General features: G+C 38.7%; 1 protein-coding gene and 1 long non-coding RNA gene across 18 annotated transcripts in view; one reads left to right on the forward strand and one right to left on the reverse strand.

Moving 5' to 3' along the window:
• The window catches only part of LOC105377327 (uncharacterized), a 32,160-nt gene extending 14,510 nt beyond the window's left edge, over positions 1-17,650 (forward strand). Inside the window, exons 3-4 of one of the 2 annotated variants that reach the window (XR_938977.3) lie at positions 3,216-3,443; positions 15,393-17,650. This is a non-coding gene — a long non-coding RNA (uncharacterized LOC105377327). The remainder of the gene's footprint in view (positions 1-3,215; positions 3,444-15,392) is intronic. The other variant, XR_007058188.1, reaches the window with a different exon arrangement.
• FAM13A (family with sequence similarity 13 member A) overlaps positions 1-21,139 on the reverse strand; it is a 331,226-nt gene that overhangs the window by 216,043 nt on the left and 94,044 nt on the right. Inside the window, exon 1 of one of the 16 annotated variants that reach the window (XM_006714057.4) lies at positions 7,324-7,436. The exons of the other annotated variants lie outside the window; for them this stretch is intronic. Coding sequence (XP_006714120.1) covers positions 7,324-7,361 — 38 coding nt within the window. The 5' untranslated portion in view covers positions 7,362-7,436. Of the gene's footprint in view, positions 1-7,323; positions 7,437-21,139 lie in introns of those variants that run through there. 16 annotated transcript variants of the gene reach the window in all.

Genomic DNA, 21,139 nt, shown 5'->3' on the forward strand with positions numbered 1-21,139 from the left:
TCCAACATAAAAATGAGATCCCTAATTTCTAAAGATGTCAGTACTCTGCCTTCTGGTACACCTGACTTTCTCATGAATAAAAATTATGGCCACAGAAGCTGCAAAGAATTACAAAAGTGGCAAAATCTTACTAAAGATAATTCAGAATTACAATGGTCATTATATGAAATATCCTAGATGAAAAAAACTGTTTTCTAAGAGGTGCACTTGAATCCCAAGCCTCTTGAATTAGGCAGAGAGAATGGGATTGTTATTCTAATTGACATTTAGAAATGTCAAAGAGGCTGGGTATGGTGGCTCATGCCTATAATCTCAGCACTTTGGGAGGCTGAGGTGGGCGGATCACCTGAGGTTAGGAGTTCGAGACCAGATTGGGCAACATGGTGAAACCCCGTCTCTACTAAAAATACAAACATTAGCCGGGTGTGGTGGTGCAGGCCTGTCATCCCAGCTACTTGGGAGGCTGAGGGACGAGGATCACTTGAACCCAGGAGGCAGAGGTTGCAGTGAGCCGAGATCACGCCGTTGCACTCCAGCCAGGGTAACAGAGCAAGACTCCATCTCAAAAAATAAATAAATAAATAGAAATGTAAAAAAAAAAAAATAGGGTTCTAAAATTGCTTTTAAAGAAATGTATTGTGAAGGCTAATAAAAAGCTAACAATGCAAGATATCACCCATACCAAAGACGGTAAAGCCCACCTGACTCCTACTGCTCCCTTCTTTCCTACCTTGCCTGAATATTCGTAGGCTACTAACTCTCCGAATTGCCTATTTTCTTTGAAAAAAATAGTCTCCTTACAAGGTGAAAAATTGAGCTTTGATATCAACAATACACTGATGCAAAACTAGTATTTGGTTTCCTGTTTTAAAACAAGGTTTTCTTTAGTATTTATCTGCTCTTAGTAAAAAATGGTGAGAACTTCTAGGTAACTGGCCTAGGAAACAAATAATCTGAGTCTTATCAAAATAATCCCTGTGCCTCATATTTTCCTTCTTAGGTTATTGATTACTTAGGAAAACTTAATCTCGTCTGTACTAAAAGAGTTAAGGTTTTCTACAATGATATAACTGCTTTTGAAAATCTTACAATTATGACTTTGGTTAAATGAATGACTATTATTCACAGTGATTTGTGATCCTATTATTGATAAGCGTTTTGAACTTTTATTTTTGACAAACTTCCCAAAATTGAATTCAAAATTAAGTCATTTTGATCACAAACTAACTTTTGAACATTCCAGAAGGGCTCCTTAAAGTCTCAAAGAGAAATATTAAATCAATTAGGCTTATCTGAGATGTTAAATTATATGTGGAAACACTGTCAAGTAAGAAATGATGTTTAATCTTTGAGTTCCAATTGTATGGATATGTTATTGATATGTGCTCCAAAAACTATATGAGATTTCTATAAATCTGTTGTGCTATCAGTCATAACTTTCTGTTAAAATGTTGTACACCACAGGAATAACCAAACTTGCTTGTCAATTATATCATTATTATAAAGGATTCTCATCATGGTTCTAACATGGCCATTTTAAATCTTGTCCACAGTTAATTGCTTTATTCTGATGCCTTTCTAAAAGCTTTCTGTAAACAACTGTGATCTTAAAGCATGTGTCTTCAAGACGGTTCACAGAAAAGATGGGAGGAACTCTGGCAAGTTCAGGTTTCTGCTAACCTTGAGATAACACTGGACTGCGTGAGAATTTCTAGAACTCTAATGAAGAAACTGATGAGTTTGTGAAACTACTAACTAAGCTCAAATAGAGCAAGAATTAATTACATGAGACTAAATGAACTGATGAAGAAGAATTATGAATTTTTAAAGCTTTTAAAAAATTTGAAATATTGCTGGTTCTTTTAATGCTTTGTTTTTCAGACTGAAGGACACATTTTTTTTCTCTCTCTTTTAAACTATCCATAGTTTACAGCAATTTGGTAAAGGATACTTCTGTAAACAAAAATGGAAACATTTGTTTCTCCTCCCTACCTGACACCTCTGAAATTCAAAAACTATACTATGTTTTATTTTTACAGCACTATGATTATTTGCATAAGTTCAATAAGAATTTGCTCTTGCTGGGCATGGTGGCTCACATGTGCAATCTCAACTACTTTGAAGACTGTGTGGGAGGTGGACTTGAGGCCAGGAGTTTGAGATCATTCTGGGCGACATAGTGAGACCCTCATTTTAAAAATTAGCTGGGCATGATGGCATGCGCCTATGGTTCCAGCTACCCAGGAGGCTGAAGTGGGAGGACCTCTTGAGCTTAGAAGTTTGAAGGTGCAGCAAGCTATGATCATACCACTACACTGCAGCCTGGGTGACAGAGCAAGACCCTAGTTCCTCTTTTAAAAAAAAGAATTTGCCCTCTTTATAACATCATGTAACTGGAAACATTGGTTCTATTACCAAGGGTTTGACTGGAATATCCTATTTGAAAATGTGGATAGACTGCCTAGCTTCAAGGGTTCCCTGCCTTATAGCCAGTGAGTAAAAAGTTGCCACTTCCTGGCAGGCCCAGGAACCTCAAGATATTAGATGCCGCAGGCAAAGTCCGATGTCTGCATTGGTTTGACTTCCTAGAGTTAAGATGCTTTTAAAAGTCCAATCTGGCAGGGCATGGTGGCTCACGCCTGTAATCCCAGCACTTTGGGAGGCCGAGGCAGGTAGATCACCTGAGGTCAGGAGTTCGAGACCCACCTGGCCAACATGGTGAAACCCTGTCTCTACTAAAAATACAAAAAATTAGCTGGGCATGGTGGTGGGTGCCTATAGTCCCAGCTACTCGAGAGGCTGAGGCAGAACAACTGCTTGAACCCAGAAGGCAGAGGTTGCAGTGAGCCGAGATCATGCCACTGCACTCCAGCCTCGGCAACAAGAGCGAAACTCTGTCTCAAAAAAAAAAAAAAAGTTCAATCTGAGATCCCTTGTCAAAATTCTACTAAAGCAAATGTAAAAGGAACCTCTGTGGGTTATTCTTGCTGCACTTATGTAAATACCTCAGGGCAATTTTTATGAGACTAAACTTATTTTGCAAACAAATTAGTCTTACCCTGATTATCTTTGGTAGAAATGGGAGTGACTGTAGAGAGAAACATTATGTTTCAAAAGAAAACTACATTATACCTGTAATTAGATTGTAGCTCTGTTCATTGTTTTTGAGTTTTTATTATCAACTGTAGACTGAACTGGATCCTAAATTCTTCCAGTTTCCTCCAAAATCTGGCTACAACTAAGAACAAAAACTGCTAAACTGGACAACTCAACATAAATTTCAAAGGACAAGTCTCATGCCTGATGTGTGAACTACATGCGGAGTTGAATATAATGCCTGCTAGCACAACCAGAGACATTCAACTGCAAATCAGGACGAGAAGTTGCCAACTTCATGCTGTGGAGTTTTTCCCAAGATGCATGGAATGAGACTCCCTATCGTAGTAAGACTCTTGCCCCTCTTAATTTTTCCATATGTAGGCCTTCTTCTTTCTCTTGGAAGGGTAAGGCTGTAGTTAGAATTCCCCAATCAGTAGTTTTTGGGGGTCACTTGACAAGGTTGGATCTCTCATATCAAACCCAAATATTTATACAATCTAAGAGATCCTACAGTGCACCTAGCGGGAAGCTTTAGCAACATCCCTAATGCGACTGTTTGTTCAAATTGTACTAGTGGTCTGTGAGAAATGGGGAAGTTCTTCTTCAAACATTATAAAAAGTCACATTTTCTTACTATAAGATTGCAACCACTATTAGTATATATATATATACTATGTGGTTGTATATATATATATAAGTATATATATATTATATATATATATACTACATATTCTATGTGTGTGTGTGTATATATATATACACATAGAATACATATATACTATGTATTCTATGTGTGTATATACACAGACTATATATATATAGTATATATTATATGCATAGTATATTTATACACACATAGTATCTGTGTGTGTGTGTGTGTGTGTGTGTGTATATATATATATATATATATATATATATATATGTAATCCAAATCAGCTGTTCTAGCTTGCTCTGGCATGCCTGGATAGAACTAGACAAGCCCCAGCCCATAGTACATGCCATACCTTATTTGGAGATGCTTCCTTAACTATCCCTGGGCAACTTCCTTTTCTTTCTTTGTTCTATTCCCCTTACCTAATTAACAATGTTTTAAGCTAATAGCCAATCAGGTAAAGTGTAAAATGCGAGGTCCTATTCCAGCCAATGGAAACTGGACACAGCAGTAGGGCAGATGCATCAGGTTATAAATAACTCAGTCTCCTCTGTCCGGTGTGCTCTTGTGGCTGGATAGCTATTAAGTAGCACCCTTTCTGCAGAAAGTAAAGCTGGCCTTGCTGAGAGATCATTTGCTCCCGCGTTCTTTTTTTTTTTTTTTTTTTTTTGGTGACACCAAAAACTTCATTCCCAACATGGTCTCTTTTATAGAATTAGCACCCTCTGCTTTAATTTAACACATTCCTGGGATGCCAGATGATAGAATTACTATCTACTTATTTGAAAATGTAGTAACAGAAAAGAAAATAAGGAATCTGTGCAGTTGCTGACACTTCTTGCTGCATATAGATAAATATGCTGGGTATTGGAGAGATTCAGTTACAAAACATTAACAAACGGGCTACTTGGTTAAAACAGGTAAATTCCTTGTCTGGCTCAGCTTTTTTTTTATTTATTTGATTTTAGTTGGTTTGGTTTATAAGGACTCTGGCTAAGGAGCCAGAGTTATTATCAGTTATTATCCTCCTGAAAGTAATAGTACCAGTCTCCCTAGTACACTGTGTCCCCTTACAAACTTCCAAGTGCTTGCATAAAGCCACCCTTCAAATGTCAAATGCAGTCTTTTCAGCTGGAATGACAAAAACTCAAAGAAATGCAAGATCATATATACACCATAACCTATGAAGGACATGTTGAAACTGCAACCCAGCACAACTGAAAGCAGCACTATTGACCTAGGTCAATAGGTCAGGCTTTGGCCTGACCAAAAGGGGAAAATTATTAAATAAAAATTATAGGAGGCCATTGTTTTGGACTAAGCACCTGCACGAGGCCCAAGATGACCAGCCTAAACTTCAAAAATGAAGTCCCAACTGGGAGCAGTGGCTCATGCCTGTAATCCCAGCACTTTGAGAGGCTGAGGTGGGCAGATCACTTGAGGCCAAGAGTTCAAGACCAGGCTGGCCAACATGGTAAAACCCTGTCTCTACCAAAAAATATAAAAACTTAGTCGGGCGTGGTAGTGTGCACCTGTAGTCCCAGCTACTTGGGAGGCTAAAGCATGAGAATGTGTTGAACCTGGCAGGCAGACTGCAGTGAGCTATGATCGCGCCACTGCATTCTAACTTGGGTGACAGAGAGAAACTGTCTCAAAACAACAACAACAAAAAACACACAGAAATGAAGTCGCCCATGCTAAAGTTCCACATAACTAAAACCAAGTTGTTACCGGACTGCCAGAAAAATCAGGAGAGAGAGATAGCCTAATTTCCGAAACAGGCCAGTTTCAATTGGCATAATAATAAATTTCTGTCTGTTCTGATCTTTAACCTATATTTTTGGCTACCTGTTCCTGCCATACAAGGAAAGTAACTTTGAAACTACCAATCCACTTTTTCTTTGTTTCTGCTTTCTTTAGTCCTTTTTTTTTTGCCTATGAAGCCAACTTCCTCTGCTTGATTTCCTAGGACGCTTATTCTATAATAGAATGAAGTACTGCCTGATAATAGAATCCCAAATGCAGCTAACTGAGATCTTTACAGTAAATTTGTTACAATTTTGTGTTTTGATGAGTAAAGTTGAAAGTCATAGATAGATATTCTCAGGCCTTGAGAGGCTGGTCCTCAGAGGCTGAAATTACAAAGACGGGTTATCTATTAAGTACAGACATACATTATACATACAGATATACACTATATTAACGGTGTTAAAATTTAATGGGGGCAAGGAATGATTAGGGAAAAAAGTCTAAAAACGCTCTTTAGAAGAACAATAATGCAAAAAAGATTGAGAAACACTGCTCTTGTCCCTCCAGTACATTACTATGAATGTTAAACACTGGCTCCTAATATAAGATCAACCTGGAGGTAACTGAACAATGCAGAAAAGAGCAGAGCTCTTGGAACAAGGGGCTAGCTGGAAGGGTTAAGGGATGTATTCAGGATCCTGGGTTAGAAAATGGGGGCTCAGGTTCTGGCTCCACAACTCATATAGTGTAGGTTTTGGAAAGCTGTTTAACTTTAAACACTAGTTTCTTCTATTGTAAAATAGAACTGTTGATAATATTAATGTTGTAGAGATCTTATGAAGATCAAATTCTTAAAAAGTTACGTGAAGGAAGCTTTGCAAAACTATGGGGTCAGAAAACAGTCAGAAGTTACCAGTGGCTGGGGTAAGAGGAGGAGTCAACTAAAAGGGGCATGAAGGAATTGTTTGGAATGATGGAAATGGCCTGTATCTTTTTTTTTTTTTGAGACAGAGTCTCACTCTATCACCCAGGCTGGAGTGCAGTGGCATGATCTCAGCTCACTGCAACCTCCGCCTCCCGGGTTCAAGCAATTCTCCCGCCTCGGCTTCCTGAGTAGCTGGGATTACAGGTACATGCCACCACGCCTGGCTAAATTTTGTATTTTTAGTAGAGGCGGGGTTTCACCATGTTGGCCAGGCTGGTCTCGAACTCCCGACCTCAGATGATCCAACCACCTCGGCCTCCCAAAGTGCTGGGATTACAGGTGTGAGTCACCGTGCCAGCCTGGGCTATATGGCTGTATCTTAATTGTGGTAGTGGTTATGACTGTCTGAGAGCAATATACTAAAAAAGATACATTTTATAGCATGTAGATTGTACTTCAGGAAAACTAACTCTCTAAAATAATGCTTTGCAAACTGGTATTAAACTAGATCTTTCTAGTCCTGATCTCTCTTGAGAATCAAAGTTCAAGACTAAACATTTATTCACTGTAAGTATCAATTTGCTAAGCTTCTAGACATTCTTTCTACCTACAATAACTTTTTTTACAAAACTAATATTTTTGTAGTTTTCTTCACCTTTATTTCTAGCCTTGCTATTCAACATATTAGTTATCCTCACCTTTGTTTCAATGATGACGTTTATGTGTATAAGCCTTCTATGTCTTAATCTAAGTCATTAATAAAAAAAGCCTAATAAGTAAATAAAGAGCAATAAGATACTTAATTTGTAACCCCTTTTGGTATTGGCATCATTTGATTAAGCAATACCCTTACAACGATTGTTCACCCAAGCCCGAATACACCTAATTGCATTATCACCTGATCAAATTGCTCCATCTTGTCCACATACATTCCATGCAGATACTATGTCCTTAATTGATTTGCAATTAAAAAAATGCTGACACACTGGAACATTCTCCCTTATGTAGTTCCTTGCCAGAAAAAGAAAAAAAAATCTATTATTGAAAGCAATCACTTGAGGCCAGGTTTAACAACCATTTTAAAAGATGCAAAAGTTTCCAAATTTGTACTCTCCTGTCTCTGAATCTATTTTAATGGTCCTATATTCCTTAATATGTTATAAATGAAAATTCAGTATAAACAAAAAGCTGGAAGATTTTTTCAAAAGATAACATTCAATTATAAAGTTCCTAATGTTTCTTAGAATTGAGGTGAGGCAATGGAAACTAAAATTTCCAGAACTGTTTTTGTACCTGGCCCCACCCTTGGCAATCTTCCCCTTCTCAAGAATTATTGACATTGGTGTTTCCAGGAACTCAATTTATATTATGTATGTCAGCTTCCACTTTCCCCTCACATTACAGAGTTTATAAACAGTTCCACTTGTTAATCCAACTCATGAGTGCTTCTCAAAAGCACTACAGAACATAAAACGTCATAAGTGAAAGCTCTCAAGTACTACATCAACAATTACCCAACCATGTCTACATAGTAATCAATATTTTGGATACGTTGGAAAAATTGACATTAATTTCTGAGATATTTTCAAATACCCTTAGGTTTGAAATCAAGTTACCAATCATTTGGGTGGATAAGTAATTTTAAAAGTTTTATACTGGATAACTAGATATGTTTCAATCTATTTTAGACACACAGTCTCAACAAAATTAGTAAAAAAGTAGGAAGTAATTATTATTCTTAAGGATAATTACTGTTAAATTTGCAATGATAAAAATCAGGCTTTTTTTTTTTTTTTAAGAGACAAGGTCTTGTTATGTTGCCCAGGCTGGAGTGGTGATCATTGCACACTGCCACCTTGAACTCCTAGGCTCAGGCAATCCTCCTGCCTCAGCCTCCTGAGTAGCTGGGACTATAGGTGTGCACGGCTGTACCCAGCTAAAAATTGGATCAAATTTAATTGATATATTTAATTGATATTTAATTGTGCCACCATGCCCAGCTAAAAATCAGATCACTATTAATTGATATATAGAAGCACATGATAATTGGGATATAATTACTATCATTTTTAGTTCTCAAAACACTTGTATATTACAACAAAGAGTAACTCCTATGTGTCTTACAGAAAAGCCATCAATAGTATAGAAGTAAGAAGAATACTGAAGTGTAAAGAGCTGGATGGGCTTGTTTTAATCCACTACCAGAAAAAAGAGTGACAGTGTTAGCATCTTGAAGATAGATGTATACTATTTATCTGAAATAGTCACAGAAAGGAGCTGATTTATTCCAGATGAAGAAGAGTGGTCTAACTTAAAATACGGGTGAATTTTTCTATAATTCCCATTTTTATACAAGGATGTGGCTGATGTTAAAGCAGCACATTAAATTAACAGTGACGGGTCAATAACTCAATGGTGGCCAACCTGGAAGAGTTATCAATTCTGTTATGGCCAACAGCTGTTATTAAACCACAAGACCCATAGGCAGTCAGGGCATCTGTGAAGTTTCAGAGAACCTGCATTAGATAGAGCAACTAAAATATTACAAGAGAAGACATGTAAAGGGAGGTGGGGCTCAGGTACGAAGGTGTAAACCCGGTTGCTGGGTCCTCTGTTATGCTGTAGGCTGGGAGGAGCAATGGGCTTAAGGGCCAGAACAACCGTGCCCCTGGGCTGCTGCTGTTTATTATATGTGTCACCCTGGACACCTGACCTCTCTGGAAACCTTCCCATTTTGAAAATCTGGGTTTTGTCCTAGATGATATATCAGATCCCCTCCATTTCTTTAATTCTACTTTTCTGAAGAAGCAGATGATGGGATGGGGCGAGTGGCAGACTTCTGATGACTTTAGAACTCCAGTTATTGAATAAATGAGCAGGTGGTTGTGTGGATGAGTTCTATGAACTCTGGCAAAATTAAAAACATTTTTAGAAACTCAACTTCAGGACAACTTCTCATTTTAAAGCAGGAGGGAAAATATCATTTTTCCTTTAAATATACTCAGGATCTTGCTTATAGAAACTTTTCAAATTAATGGTTAAAAGAGAATATAAGTCTCAGTGTTCAGATTACTTATAAATTTTATGTTTACCAAAGGTGATTAGGATCAAACTTTTAGCAGTTTGAATGACTCAAGTAACTTTTAGTTTTATTTTTCATTATTTTCTCCCCTGCACTTTGGGGTCCAAGACATAACAATACATTTTCAACCTCAGAACTCATGATGCTGAGTTTTTCCTTCTTTACTTACTAAATCCTACCCATCTTCCAATGTTCAATTAAAGTTCTGTTCCTCTCTCCCATCAAAATCAATTACTTCTTTCTTATTCTCAAAGAATTTGTTTAACCTTCGATCACAGCATTTATTAGAGTCTCTTATATATCATAATTTGTTGTGAGGGTATTTATCTCCATTGCCTTGTATCTTAAGGGCAGGGAGTCTCTCCAACTCATCTTATATTTCCAACAGAGCCTAGTACTATGCATGACTTAGAGGGAACTAAAATTTGCATACTCTTAGAAGTTGAACTTATTAATACTTTCATAGTTCCTTTTCAACTTATTTAAAAAGTTACTTTCCTCTTTGTACATATATGGGCAACATGCTCCTAGGCTACAGTGTAAAACATAGTGTAAAGAATAACCCATTGTTCTTATCATTTGTATTAGAATAAATAGCATATATGACACCTTTCCTCTCTAATGGTAATATTCCCCAAATCAGGAAGTTATAGGCCAAACCAGCAATCTTTTATATAAACAGCCGTTGAGATGGAACAACCAGAATGCTTCCAAATGGGCTAAAGAAACATTGGCAAGGCCTGTCAGGGGAATAAATACCAAGAAACACATGTTCTTCACCGAGAGCTCAGCCTGTAATGTTACTAAAAATAAAGAAAAACTTGCCTCCTTCATTGCTATAGTATTGATCCATTTGCAAGTCTCAGTGGGGTTGCATAATGGCGGCTATCAAAACAGAGAGAAAACAGCTCAGTATCTCAATGTTATTTTAATAGTAGTTTGAAACTTCACTCCATGCCCAGCTTCATGCTATTTGACAGCAGTAAGGCCTAAACTTGCCAGATCCTCATATATCTTAGTTAAAACTGAAAATGTACCAAGAAAGAAGATCATATTATTCTTATTTTGTTCTGTACTACGTATAGGTACATGTAGTTCATTCTAAACCTTAGTCCACTGAATACCACAGAAAAGCTTCTTTAAGTAGCAAACTTGAGGCCCGGTACAGTGGCTCACGCCTGTAATCCCAGCACTTTGGGAGGCCGAGGTGGGTGGATCCCTTGAGGTCGGGAGTTCAAGACCAGCCTGGCCAACGTGGTGAAACCCCGTCTCTACTAAAAACACAAAAATTAGCTGGGTGTGTTGACGCACATCTGTAATCCCAGCTACTCAGGAGGCTGAGGAAGGAGAATCGCTTAAACCTGGGAGGCAGAGGTTGCAGTGAGTCGAGATCGTGCCACTGCACTCCAGCATGGGCAACAGAGTGAGACTCTGTCTCAAATAAATAAATAAATAAATAGTAGCAAACTTGACTAATTTGAATTTCAGCTCTTTGCCTTTGTAAATAAATATTTTACAGCATCACTGAGATACAATTAACATCTTATACAACTCACCCATTTAGAGTGTACAATTCAATGCTTTTAGTATATTGAGACTAGTACATCCATCATCACAATCAATTTTAGAACATTTTCATTACCCCAAGAAGAAACTTCCCTCTCAGCTGGGCGTGGTGGCTCAGCCTGTAATCCCAGCACTTTGGGAAACCGAGGCGGGCAGACCACCTGAGGTCAAGAGTTCGAGACCAGCCTGGCCAACATGGTGAAACCCCGTCTCTACTAAAAGTACAAAAATTAGCCGGGCGTGGTGGCAGGCACCTGTAATCCCAGCTACTCGGGAGGCTGAGGGAGGAGAATCACTTGAACCCAGAAGGCGGAGGTTGCAGTGAGCCGAGATTGCACCACTGCACTCCAGCCTGTGTGACAGAGCGAGACTCTATCTCAAAAACAAACAAACAAACAAAAACAACAACAACAAAAAACATAACATAAACTTTAACATTTTAACCATTTTTAACTATACAATTAGCAGCATAAGGTACATTCACATAGTGGTGAAACAGATCTCCAGAACCTTTTCATCTGGCAAAAGTGAAACTCTACACCCATTAAGCAACTTCCTCTTTCTCCCTCCTCCCAGCTCCTCATAACCACTATTCTGTTTCTATGAATTTTATGATTTTAGGTACCTCATATAAGTGGAATCACACAGTATGTGTCTTTTTTGACTGGTTTATTTCACTGAGCATAACATCCCAAGGCTCATCCATTTCCTTCCTTTGTATGGCTGAAAAATATTCTATTGTATGTATATACCTAATTTGTTTGTCTATTCATTCACTGATGGACATTTGGGTTGCTTCCACCTCTTGACTGTTGTGTCTTACCTCTTCTTGTACGTATTTTTAAAAAGCAATCAGGTGCTTAAATAACAGGACAAGAAACAACAGAATAAGAACAATGCAAAAATTCTGGTCAGCCTCTACCCAAACCAAAATGAGCCAAAGTGTTTGGAAATGATAAACATTTAGTGAGTATGTTTACTTCTGAAAAAAAATAAATTGTTAGACTCCATGAATTCAGTTGGTCTGCTTATAGCTAAGTTAAGGTAGGTCTTGAGATAATCCAAAATAAGACAACCTAATTGGTCTACACATAATATTAATATGAGGTGCTATATACTCCTGTATTCTTCATCCAATGAACATTTTCTTCATTTCAAAAGCTTAATACTTATTAACAAAAGTGAAAATGAATCTGTGATCACAATCTTACTCTGCTCTTTAAAGCAGCCCAGAGATGCATAGGAGAATGCTACTGTCCAAAAAGAGTTAGAATACTTTTCTCTGCAGTAAACTGCCATCTATCCATCCATAAATCCGTCCTTTCATCTATCAATCAACCAAAGTGTTAGAGGCTAGGCTAGTCAATGACACTTCTAAGATGCGTAAACCAGATTCTTGCCCTAAAAAGTTTACAAATAAGGTCAAGGGAGGAGCCAGAAAGAGGATAAATGTTAACAGGCTTAAACACCTATACAAAAAATAATAGGAATACAAAACAGAAATATGTTCAAAATGCTATGAGAATGGCCAGGAGTGCTGGCTCATGCCTGTAATCCCAGCACTTTGGGAGGCCCAAGGTGGGCAGATTGCCTGAGCTCAGGAGTTCGTCACCAGCCTGGGCAACACGGCAAAAACCTCGTCTCTACTTAAAATTCAAAAATTAGCCAGGTATGGTGGTGCGCGCCTATAATCACAGCTACTCAGGAGGCTGAGGCAGGAGAACCGCTTGAACCCAGGAGGCAGAGGTTGCAGTGAGCAGAGATTGTGCCACTGTACTCCAGCCTGGGCGACAGAGCAAGACTTCGTCTCAAAAAAAAAAAAAAAGAAAAAATGTTATGAGAACTCCAAGAAAAGTAGTTGTTGCTTGTTATTCCCACCACCAGCATTTCCCTCTTTTCTGGTTATTGTCTTGATTCTAATCCCATCAGGATATTACTCTGTCAGGTCAAGTCAGGGCAGTTAAAGAAACTCCATAGAGCTTCCTTCATACCTCACCGTTTTATAACTCTCACAAATATTTTCTTAAGATTGAATGTACTTTTAATGGCTAGAACTAACCATATTATAGTTAGAATGTGTTTTTATTATGCTTAGAATTGTTTTCAGAATGTAGAATTACGTATTAATTAGAATTAAATATCATTATATTTATTTATTATATTGTTATATTTCCCTTCAGTTTTGATAACAACAGAGCACCAGGGAAAAGACCTCTATTAACCTCAAATTAAATTCAGAAAACCAATATAATCTACTGAATACACATAGTCTGCCATGATTGTAAGTTTCCTGAGGCCTCCCCAGCCATGTTGAACTGTGAGTCAATTAAACCTCTTTCCTTTATAAATTACCCAGTCTCGGGTATGTCTTTATTAGCAGCGTGAGAACAAACCAACACAGTAAATTGGTACCGGGTAGTGGAGCGCTGCTGTAAAGATACCCAAAAAATGTGAATGTGACTTTGGAATTGGTAACAGGCAGAGGTTGGAACACTTTGGAGGGCTCAGAGGACAGGAAGATGTAGGAAAATTTGGAACTTCCTAGAGACTTATTGGATGGCTTTGACCAAAATGCTGATAGTGATATGGATAATAAAGTCCAGGCTGAGGTGGTCTCAGATAGAAATGAGGAATTTTGGGGGAAGTGGGACAAAGGTGACTCGTCATGCTTTAGCAAAGAGACTGGCAGCACTTTGCCCTTGCCCTAGAGGTCTGTGGAGCTTTGAACTTGAGAGAGATGGTTTGGAATTGGAACTTATGTTTAAAAGGGAAGCAGAGCATAAAAGTTTGGGAAATTTGCAGCCTGATGATGCAATAGAAAAGAAAAACCCATTTTCTGAGGAGAAATTCAAGCAGGCTGCACAACTTTGCATAAGTAGCAAGGAGCCTAATGTTAATCCCCAAGGAAAAAAAAATTTAAACATTTATAAGGTAAACTAGTTACAGTAAGTTAAGGTTAATTTATTATGGGAGAAAGAATTGTTTAAAATATATTTAGTATAGCCTAAGTGTACCATCTTTTTAAAGTCTACAGTAGTGTACAGTAATGTCCTACGCCTTCCCTTTTACTCACCACTCACTCATTGACTCACTCAGAGCAACTTCCAGTTCTGAAAGCTCCATTCAGGATAGATGCCTGACGTAGGTGTACCTTTTTAAAATCTGTTATATCACATTTTTCTGTACTTTTGTTAGTTTAGATATGTTCAGATAAACAAATACCATTGTACTACAATTGCCTACAGTATTCAGTACAGTAACATGCTGCACATGTTTGCAGACTAGCAGCAATAGACTATATCATATAGCCTAGGTGTGGGGTAGGTTATACCTCTCGGTTAATATAAGTATACTCTGTGATGCTCACGCATGTACGAAATTGTCTAATGACGCATTTCTCAACATGACTGTATACTTCAATAAAGCTATTATTTAAAAAAAGATGAAGAAACACCAAAGAACTTAAGGAATTTATCCAAGGTCACTATACTAGATTTCTATTACTGATATAACAAATTACCACAAACTTAGTGGCTTAAAACAACACACATTTATTATCTTGGAGTTCTAGAGGCCAGAAGTCCAAAGTAGGTCTCAGTAGGCCAAAAAAGTAGGTCTTAACAGGGGTCAGGTCCTTCCTAGGGGAGAATCTGTTACCCTCACTTTCTAGCTTCTAGAGATCTCCTGCATTCCTTAGCTTGTGGCCTCCTCTCACAACACACCTTCTTATCTGACTCTCCGGCCACCTATAATGGCCCTTGTGATTATATTGAGCTTATAATACAGTTTGGATTGTCCCCGCCCAAATTTCAGGTTGAATTATAACCCCAAATGTTGGAGGTAGGACCTGGTGGGAGGTGTTTGGATCATGAGAACAGTTCCCTCTTGAATGGCTTGAGCTATCCCCAGGGTGATGAGTGAGTTCTCATTCTGAGTTCACATGAAATCTAGTTATTTAAAAGTGTGTGGGTCGGGTGCAGTGGCTCACGCCTGTAATCCCAGAACTTTGAAAGGCTGAGGTGGGCAGATTGCCTGAGGTCAGGAGTTGGAGACCAGCCTGGCTAACATGGTGAAATGCCATCTCTACTGAAAATATGAAAATTAGCTGGGCATGGAGGCACATGCCGGCAGTCCCATCTACTAGGGAGGCTGAGGCAGGAGAATCACTTCAACCTGGGAGGTGGAGGTTGCAGTGAGCTGAGGAGATTGCACCACTGCACTCCAGCCTGCATGACAGAGCGAGACTCTGTCTCAAAAAAAAAAAGTGTGTGGCACCTCCCTCCCACCCCACATCTCTCACTTGCCTCTGCTTTCTCCAGGTAAGCTTCCTGAGGCTTCCCTAGAAGCTGACCTGATGCCAGCACCATATTTCCTATAGAACTTGCAGAATGATGAGCCAATTAGACCTCTTTTCTTCATAAATTACCGAGTCTCGGATATTTCTTTATAGCAATGCAAGAACAGCCTAACATAGAAAATTGGTACCAAGGATGGGCATTGCTCTAAAGACACCTGAAAATGTGGAAGTGACTTTGGAACTGGGTAACAGGCAGAGGTTGGAAGAGTTTGGAGGACACAGAAGAAGATAGGAAGACAAGGAAATGTATGGAACTTCTTAGAGATTTGTTAAGTGGTTGTGACCAAAATGCTGACAGAAATATGGACGTTGAAGGTCAGGGAAATGAGATCTCAGATGGAAATGAGGAACTTACTGAGAACTGGAGTAAAGGTCACCCATGTTATGCGTTAGCAAGGAACTTGGCTGCACTCTGCTCATGCTTTAGGGAATTTGTGGAAGTTTGAACTTTAGAGTGAAGATTTAGGGTATCTGGTGGAAGAAATTTCTAAGCAGCAAAGTGTTCAAAATGTGGCTTATTTCTAACAACCTATGCTCAGATGTGAGAGCAAAGAAATGACTAAAAGTTGGATTTATATTTAAAAGGGAAGCAGAGCATAAAGTTTGGAAAATGTGCAGCCTGGCCAAGCGTCAGAGGGAAAAAAAAAAAGCTTTTTCAGGAGAAGAATTCAAGCAGGCTTTGGAGCAACCACTTGCTAGAGAAATTTGCGTGACTAAAAGGAGCCAAGAGCTAATAGCCGATACAATGAGCAAAAGGCCTCAAGGGCACTTCAGAGATCTGCTTGGCAGCCCCTCCCATCACAGGCCCAGAGGCCTAGGAAAAAAGAATGGTTTCCTGGGCCATGTCCAGGGCCCTGCTACCCTGCACCGCTTCAGGACACTGCTGCCTGCATCTCAGCCACTCCAGCTCCAGCTCCAGCTCCACCCCTGGCTCAAAGGGGCCCAGGTACAGCTTGAGCTGATACTTTGGAGCCTCTCACTGCTCACTGCATCTCAGCCACTGCAGCTCCAGCTCCAGCCATAGCTCAAAGGAGCCCAGGTATAGCTTGAGTTGACACTTTAGAGAATGCAAGCTGTAAGTCTTGGTGGCTTCTATGTGGTGTTAAGCCTGCAGGTGCACAGAATACAAGAGTTAAGGAGGTCTGGCAGCCTCTGCCTAGATGTCAGAGGATGCATGAGAAAGCCTGGTTGTCCAGGCAGAAGCCCGCTGCAGGGGTTGAGCCCTCAGAGAGAACTTCTACTAGGACAGTGTGGAGGGGAAACGTGGAGTTGGAGCCCCCCGACAGAGTCCCCACTAGGGCACTGTCTAGTGCAGCTGTGGGAAGAGGGCTACCACTCTCCAGATCCCAGAATGGTAAATCCAGTGGCAGCTTGCAACCTCAAGGCAGAAAAGCCACAGATGCTCAACATCCTGTAAGTTTAGCCATGGGGGCTGTACCCTGCAAAGCCAAAAGGGTAGGGCTGCCCAAGGCCTTAGGATCCCACCTCTTGCATGAGTGTGCCCTGGATGTGGGACATGAAGTCAAAGGAGATTATTTTGGAACTTTACAATTTAATGACTGCCCTGCTGCATTTCACACTTGCTTTTGGTTGATTTTTCCCATTTAGAATGGTAGTGTTTACCTAATGCATATACCCCATTGTATCTTGAAATTAAATAACTTGTTTTTGATTTTACAAGCTCATAAGTGAAAGGGACATGCCTTGTCTCAGATGAGATTTTGGACTTTTGAGTTAATGTTGAAATGAGTTAAGACTTTGGGGGAATTATTGGGAAGGCATGATTGTATTCTGCAATGTGAAAAGGACATGAGATTTGGGAGGGGCCGGGGCAGAATGATATAGTTTGAATATTTGTCCCCACCCAAATCTCATATTGAAATGTAATCTCCAGTGTTGGTAGTGGGGCTTGGTGGGAAGTGTTTGATCATGGGGGATGGTTCCCTCATGAATGGCTTGGGCCATCCCCTTGGTGATGAGTGAACTCTCACTCTGAGTTCACATGAGATCTGGTCGTTTAAAAGGACGTGGCATCTCCTTGCCTCTGCCACTCTCTCATTTGTTCCTGCCTTTGCAATGTGATGTGCCTGCTCCCCCTTTTCCTTCTGCTATAATTATAAGTTTCCTGAGGCTTCCCGAGAAGCCCAGCTGATGCCAGTACCATGCTTCCTACAAAGGTTGCAGAACTACGAGCCAATTAAACCTATTTCCTTCACAAAATACTCAGTCTCAGGTATTTCTTTACAGCAATGCAAGAATGGCTTAACAGTCCACATGGATAATCCAGAGTAATCTTCCTATCTCAAGATCTTTTACTTAATAACATCTGCAAAGTCCCTTTTATCCATGTTAAGTAACATATTTACAGGTTCTGGAAATTAGGATATCAGCCTCTTGTGGCGGTAAGGGGGTGAGGGGATGTTGTTATTCTGTCTACCACAATAATTTCACTAGGCAGGTTTAAAACCAAATTCAAACCCATGCACTCTGAACACCTGCTTGCTTAACTACCGCATCCTTACCCTTCCATTATACACAGTAGAAGTTGCCTGGTTCTCGGCAAGAAGGCACTTAAATCGCTTTGAGAATGACTTTTCAAAATACACTGGACCCTCAGAAAGAAAGGATTCTGGGTTGTAGAAAGTCATCTCCCTCTCCTGAGTTCTAGAGGTAACTGTCTTAAATTCAAAGTAGCACTGAAGGGCAATTCCCATGTGGAAATATCTATACCAAGGCAAGAGTAATGTCCCACCTCTTTGCAATAAACAAATGAAAATGCTATAAGAAATCCGTCAGGAAAATAATCTCAGTTATTGTCACTATGTGTTTCTCTTTTTTGCTTTATTAAAAAATAACACAATTTTCAACATCCTGAAGCCTATTTGATTTTTCAGTGAGAAAGACAGTTTTTAATATTTTTTGTCCTAGTTGTGAGTGAGATATAACTGAAGATATGAGGAAAACTGATGATTAGGTTCAATTACAAAACAATAGAAAAACAGAGGGATACAAGTTAGCCTGCCCAAATAATTGAAGTAATCCCTTGGTTCTACTTCTTCAGTATCATCTCCTTCAAAGAAAGAGAAAATACACAAAAGTGCACAACAATAAACTGAATTTTTCCGCCACAACAACAAAACCTCATTTGAAGTATTAAGATGACTATGTAAGCACTCTCAGCAAGAGGAGAGAAGAGAAAAGAACGAAGAAGCTAGTAGTTAGTAAGAAAGACACAGAGGTATCCTCAATTCCCTTTTTAAACTACAACCCAAATGTAGGGCTTCCTTTTAAGTGTGACAGGCATTGTCTTTTGCAAAGTTGCTTCCTGAATAGATTTACAGGAAGCAGCTTTGTTTTACCATTGCTGAAAACATGTAACAATTTACATTTGCAAAGCAGAAATTGTGCAAACCCTAACAAAAGCAACAGTTACTAATCAGAAAAACATCAACTCCAGTGAGAGGAAAATTCATAAAGAAACTTTAAAAAAATTATATTTATGGAAATTGATGACTTGCCTCCTTAAGAAGCACAGAAAGTGCATTTGTATTAATTCTTAACACTTTTTAAAGAGGTGCCCTCTTACAGTTTTTAGACCAAAAGTTGATTTTTAAGCCACGATTTAGAATTCAGAATGGACTTTCTAATAAAAATAGTGATAGAAATGGTGACTAAGTTTGAATGTTGGCCTAGAACAATCAATAAAAGCCATAAAAGTTTTGAAATACTCTTCACTTGAAATGGAAAAACAAACAACACAGAAAATATAGTTGCAATGAAAGCTTTAAAACAAAATACACATTTAAAAATAGAATAAGTTTACCTATAATTAACTCATTCACTGAACAAATAATACCTATATTTGCCAAGAAAAGAGATACATAAAAACAAATCCTCAGCTTTGTGGAATTTGCCTTTTTTTTTTTTTTTTTTTTTTTTTTTTTTTTTTTTTTGAGACTGAGTCTTGCTCTGTCATCCAGGCTGGAGTGCAATGGCATGATCTCAGTTCATTGCAACCTCCACCTGCTGGGTTCAAGCAATTCTCCTACCTCAGCCTCCCAAGCAGCTAGGACTACAGGCGTGCACCACAATGCCCGGCTAATTTTTTGTATTTTTAGTAGAGACGGGTTTTTGCCATGTTGGCCAGGCTGGTCTCGAACTCCTGACCTTGTGATCTGCCCGCCTCAGCCTCCCAGAGTGTTGGGATTACACGCGTGAGCCACCTTGTCTGGCCAGAACTTGCCTTTTAGTGGTGTGTGGAAGAAGCAGTAGGGAACATAAAATAAATAAATGTATGACATGATAGATGTTAACTGTATCTCATAGACAAAGACTTGAGGGTCTAACTCAACAGAAAGTTTTGGGATTCAGTTCATGTTAAAGGGCTGCAAAAACAGCTTTTTATTTTAATGTGGTTTAACTTCACTTTTATGGATTCTTTTAATCTTATATATAGCAGGTATTTTATCAAGCCATGGAAAGTGAATGGGGAAAAATAGGTTAAGTTCAATTATAAAAATTATAAAAACGATTAAATTCAATTATAAAACAATAGAAAATTAGGGAAATGGAGGGAAAGAGGGAAGAGAGAGAAAGGGAAAGAAGAGAGTCAGGGAAAGAAGGTAACTAGGTAGGAGTCAGAAGAGAGAGTGAATGGCAACAGTAAAAACCAGACCTCATAAATATGTACAATTATTATTTGTCAATTTAAAAAATAAGTAAAAAAAAAAAATGAAATGAAATCTCAGCAAAAATGTCACAGAGGATATTTGAGTCTCCTTTTAATAGATTTCAAACACAATGTTATCACATTAGTAGAGACACATGAACTATATGGATTTTAATACAAATTACTTAAATATTTCACAAAAAAAGAGAAGGAAAGGATGAACGAGATTTAGGAAATTCGGAACAAGCATTTGCATGAAGGGGATTTACTAAAGGAGAGTCAACCAATTCAAGGTCTGTGAAAGTGCAAGGATAAGAGAAAAAACTCAGCATTTACACAATTTTCCAAAGAGGAAAGAAAGGAGGTGGGAAAAACAGAGAGTTTCACAGAACAGGGAGTTTGGCTGCAATCTGAGTAAGGGGTGGTCAGCTGCAGGGAGGCTCCAGAGTGGTGGGAGCAATGGGTTGCATGGTTTATCAACCAGGAGTCACTGCTATTTGGTGGGCGGGGAGAGCGAGAGAGAGAGCATATGTGTCAACTCAAAGAGTCATCTAATAAACTGTGTGGACTTTAATTTCATCACATGACTAGAAGTTAGTGAAATATTTGTGGGATGTGCACCACTCAGAACACACATCAACCTTTCTGGCCACTGAAATGTGAGTGCATAATAGTCCCAAATTGACAGCAATCTAAATGTTCATTAAGAAAGAATTAGGTAAATTCCAAAACATAAGGGAATACTATGACAACTACTACAACAGTGGTATAAAGATTAACGTTAGTTGACATGGAAGATGTTCATGACATATTATTTAAATAAGATTAGTAACACAGTAGCATGTATGAATATTTCCTATATGTAAAAATGCATTTTAATTTCTGTGTAGAGATTTCTAAAAGGATGTTCAGAAAAATATCAATGGGTCACTAGGTGACTTTTACTTTTTTTCTTTTTGCCTTTTTGGGTATAATTTTAATTATTTACAAGAAGCAAGTATCATTTTTATGAAACTAATGTTACTTAAAAAAAATTTAAA

This window comes from Homo sapiens, chromosome 4, assembly GCF_000001405.40.
Source record: "Homo sapiens chromosome 4, GRCh38.p14 Primary Assembly".
Taxonomy (NCBI): Eukaryota; Metazoa; Chordata; class Mammalia; order Primates; family Hominidae; genus Homo; species Homo sapiens.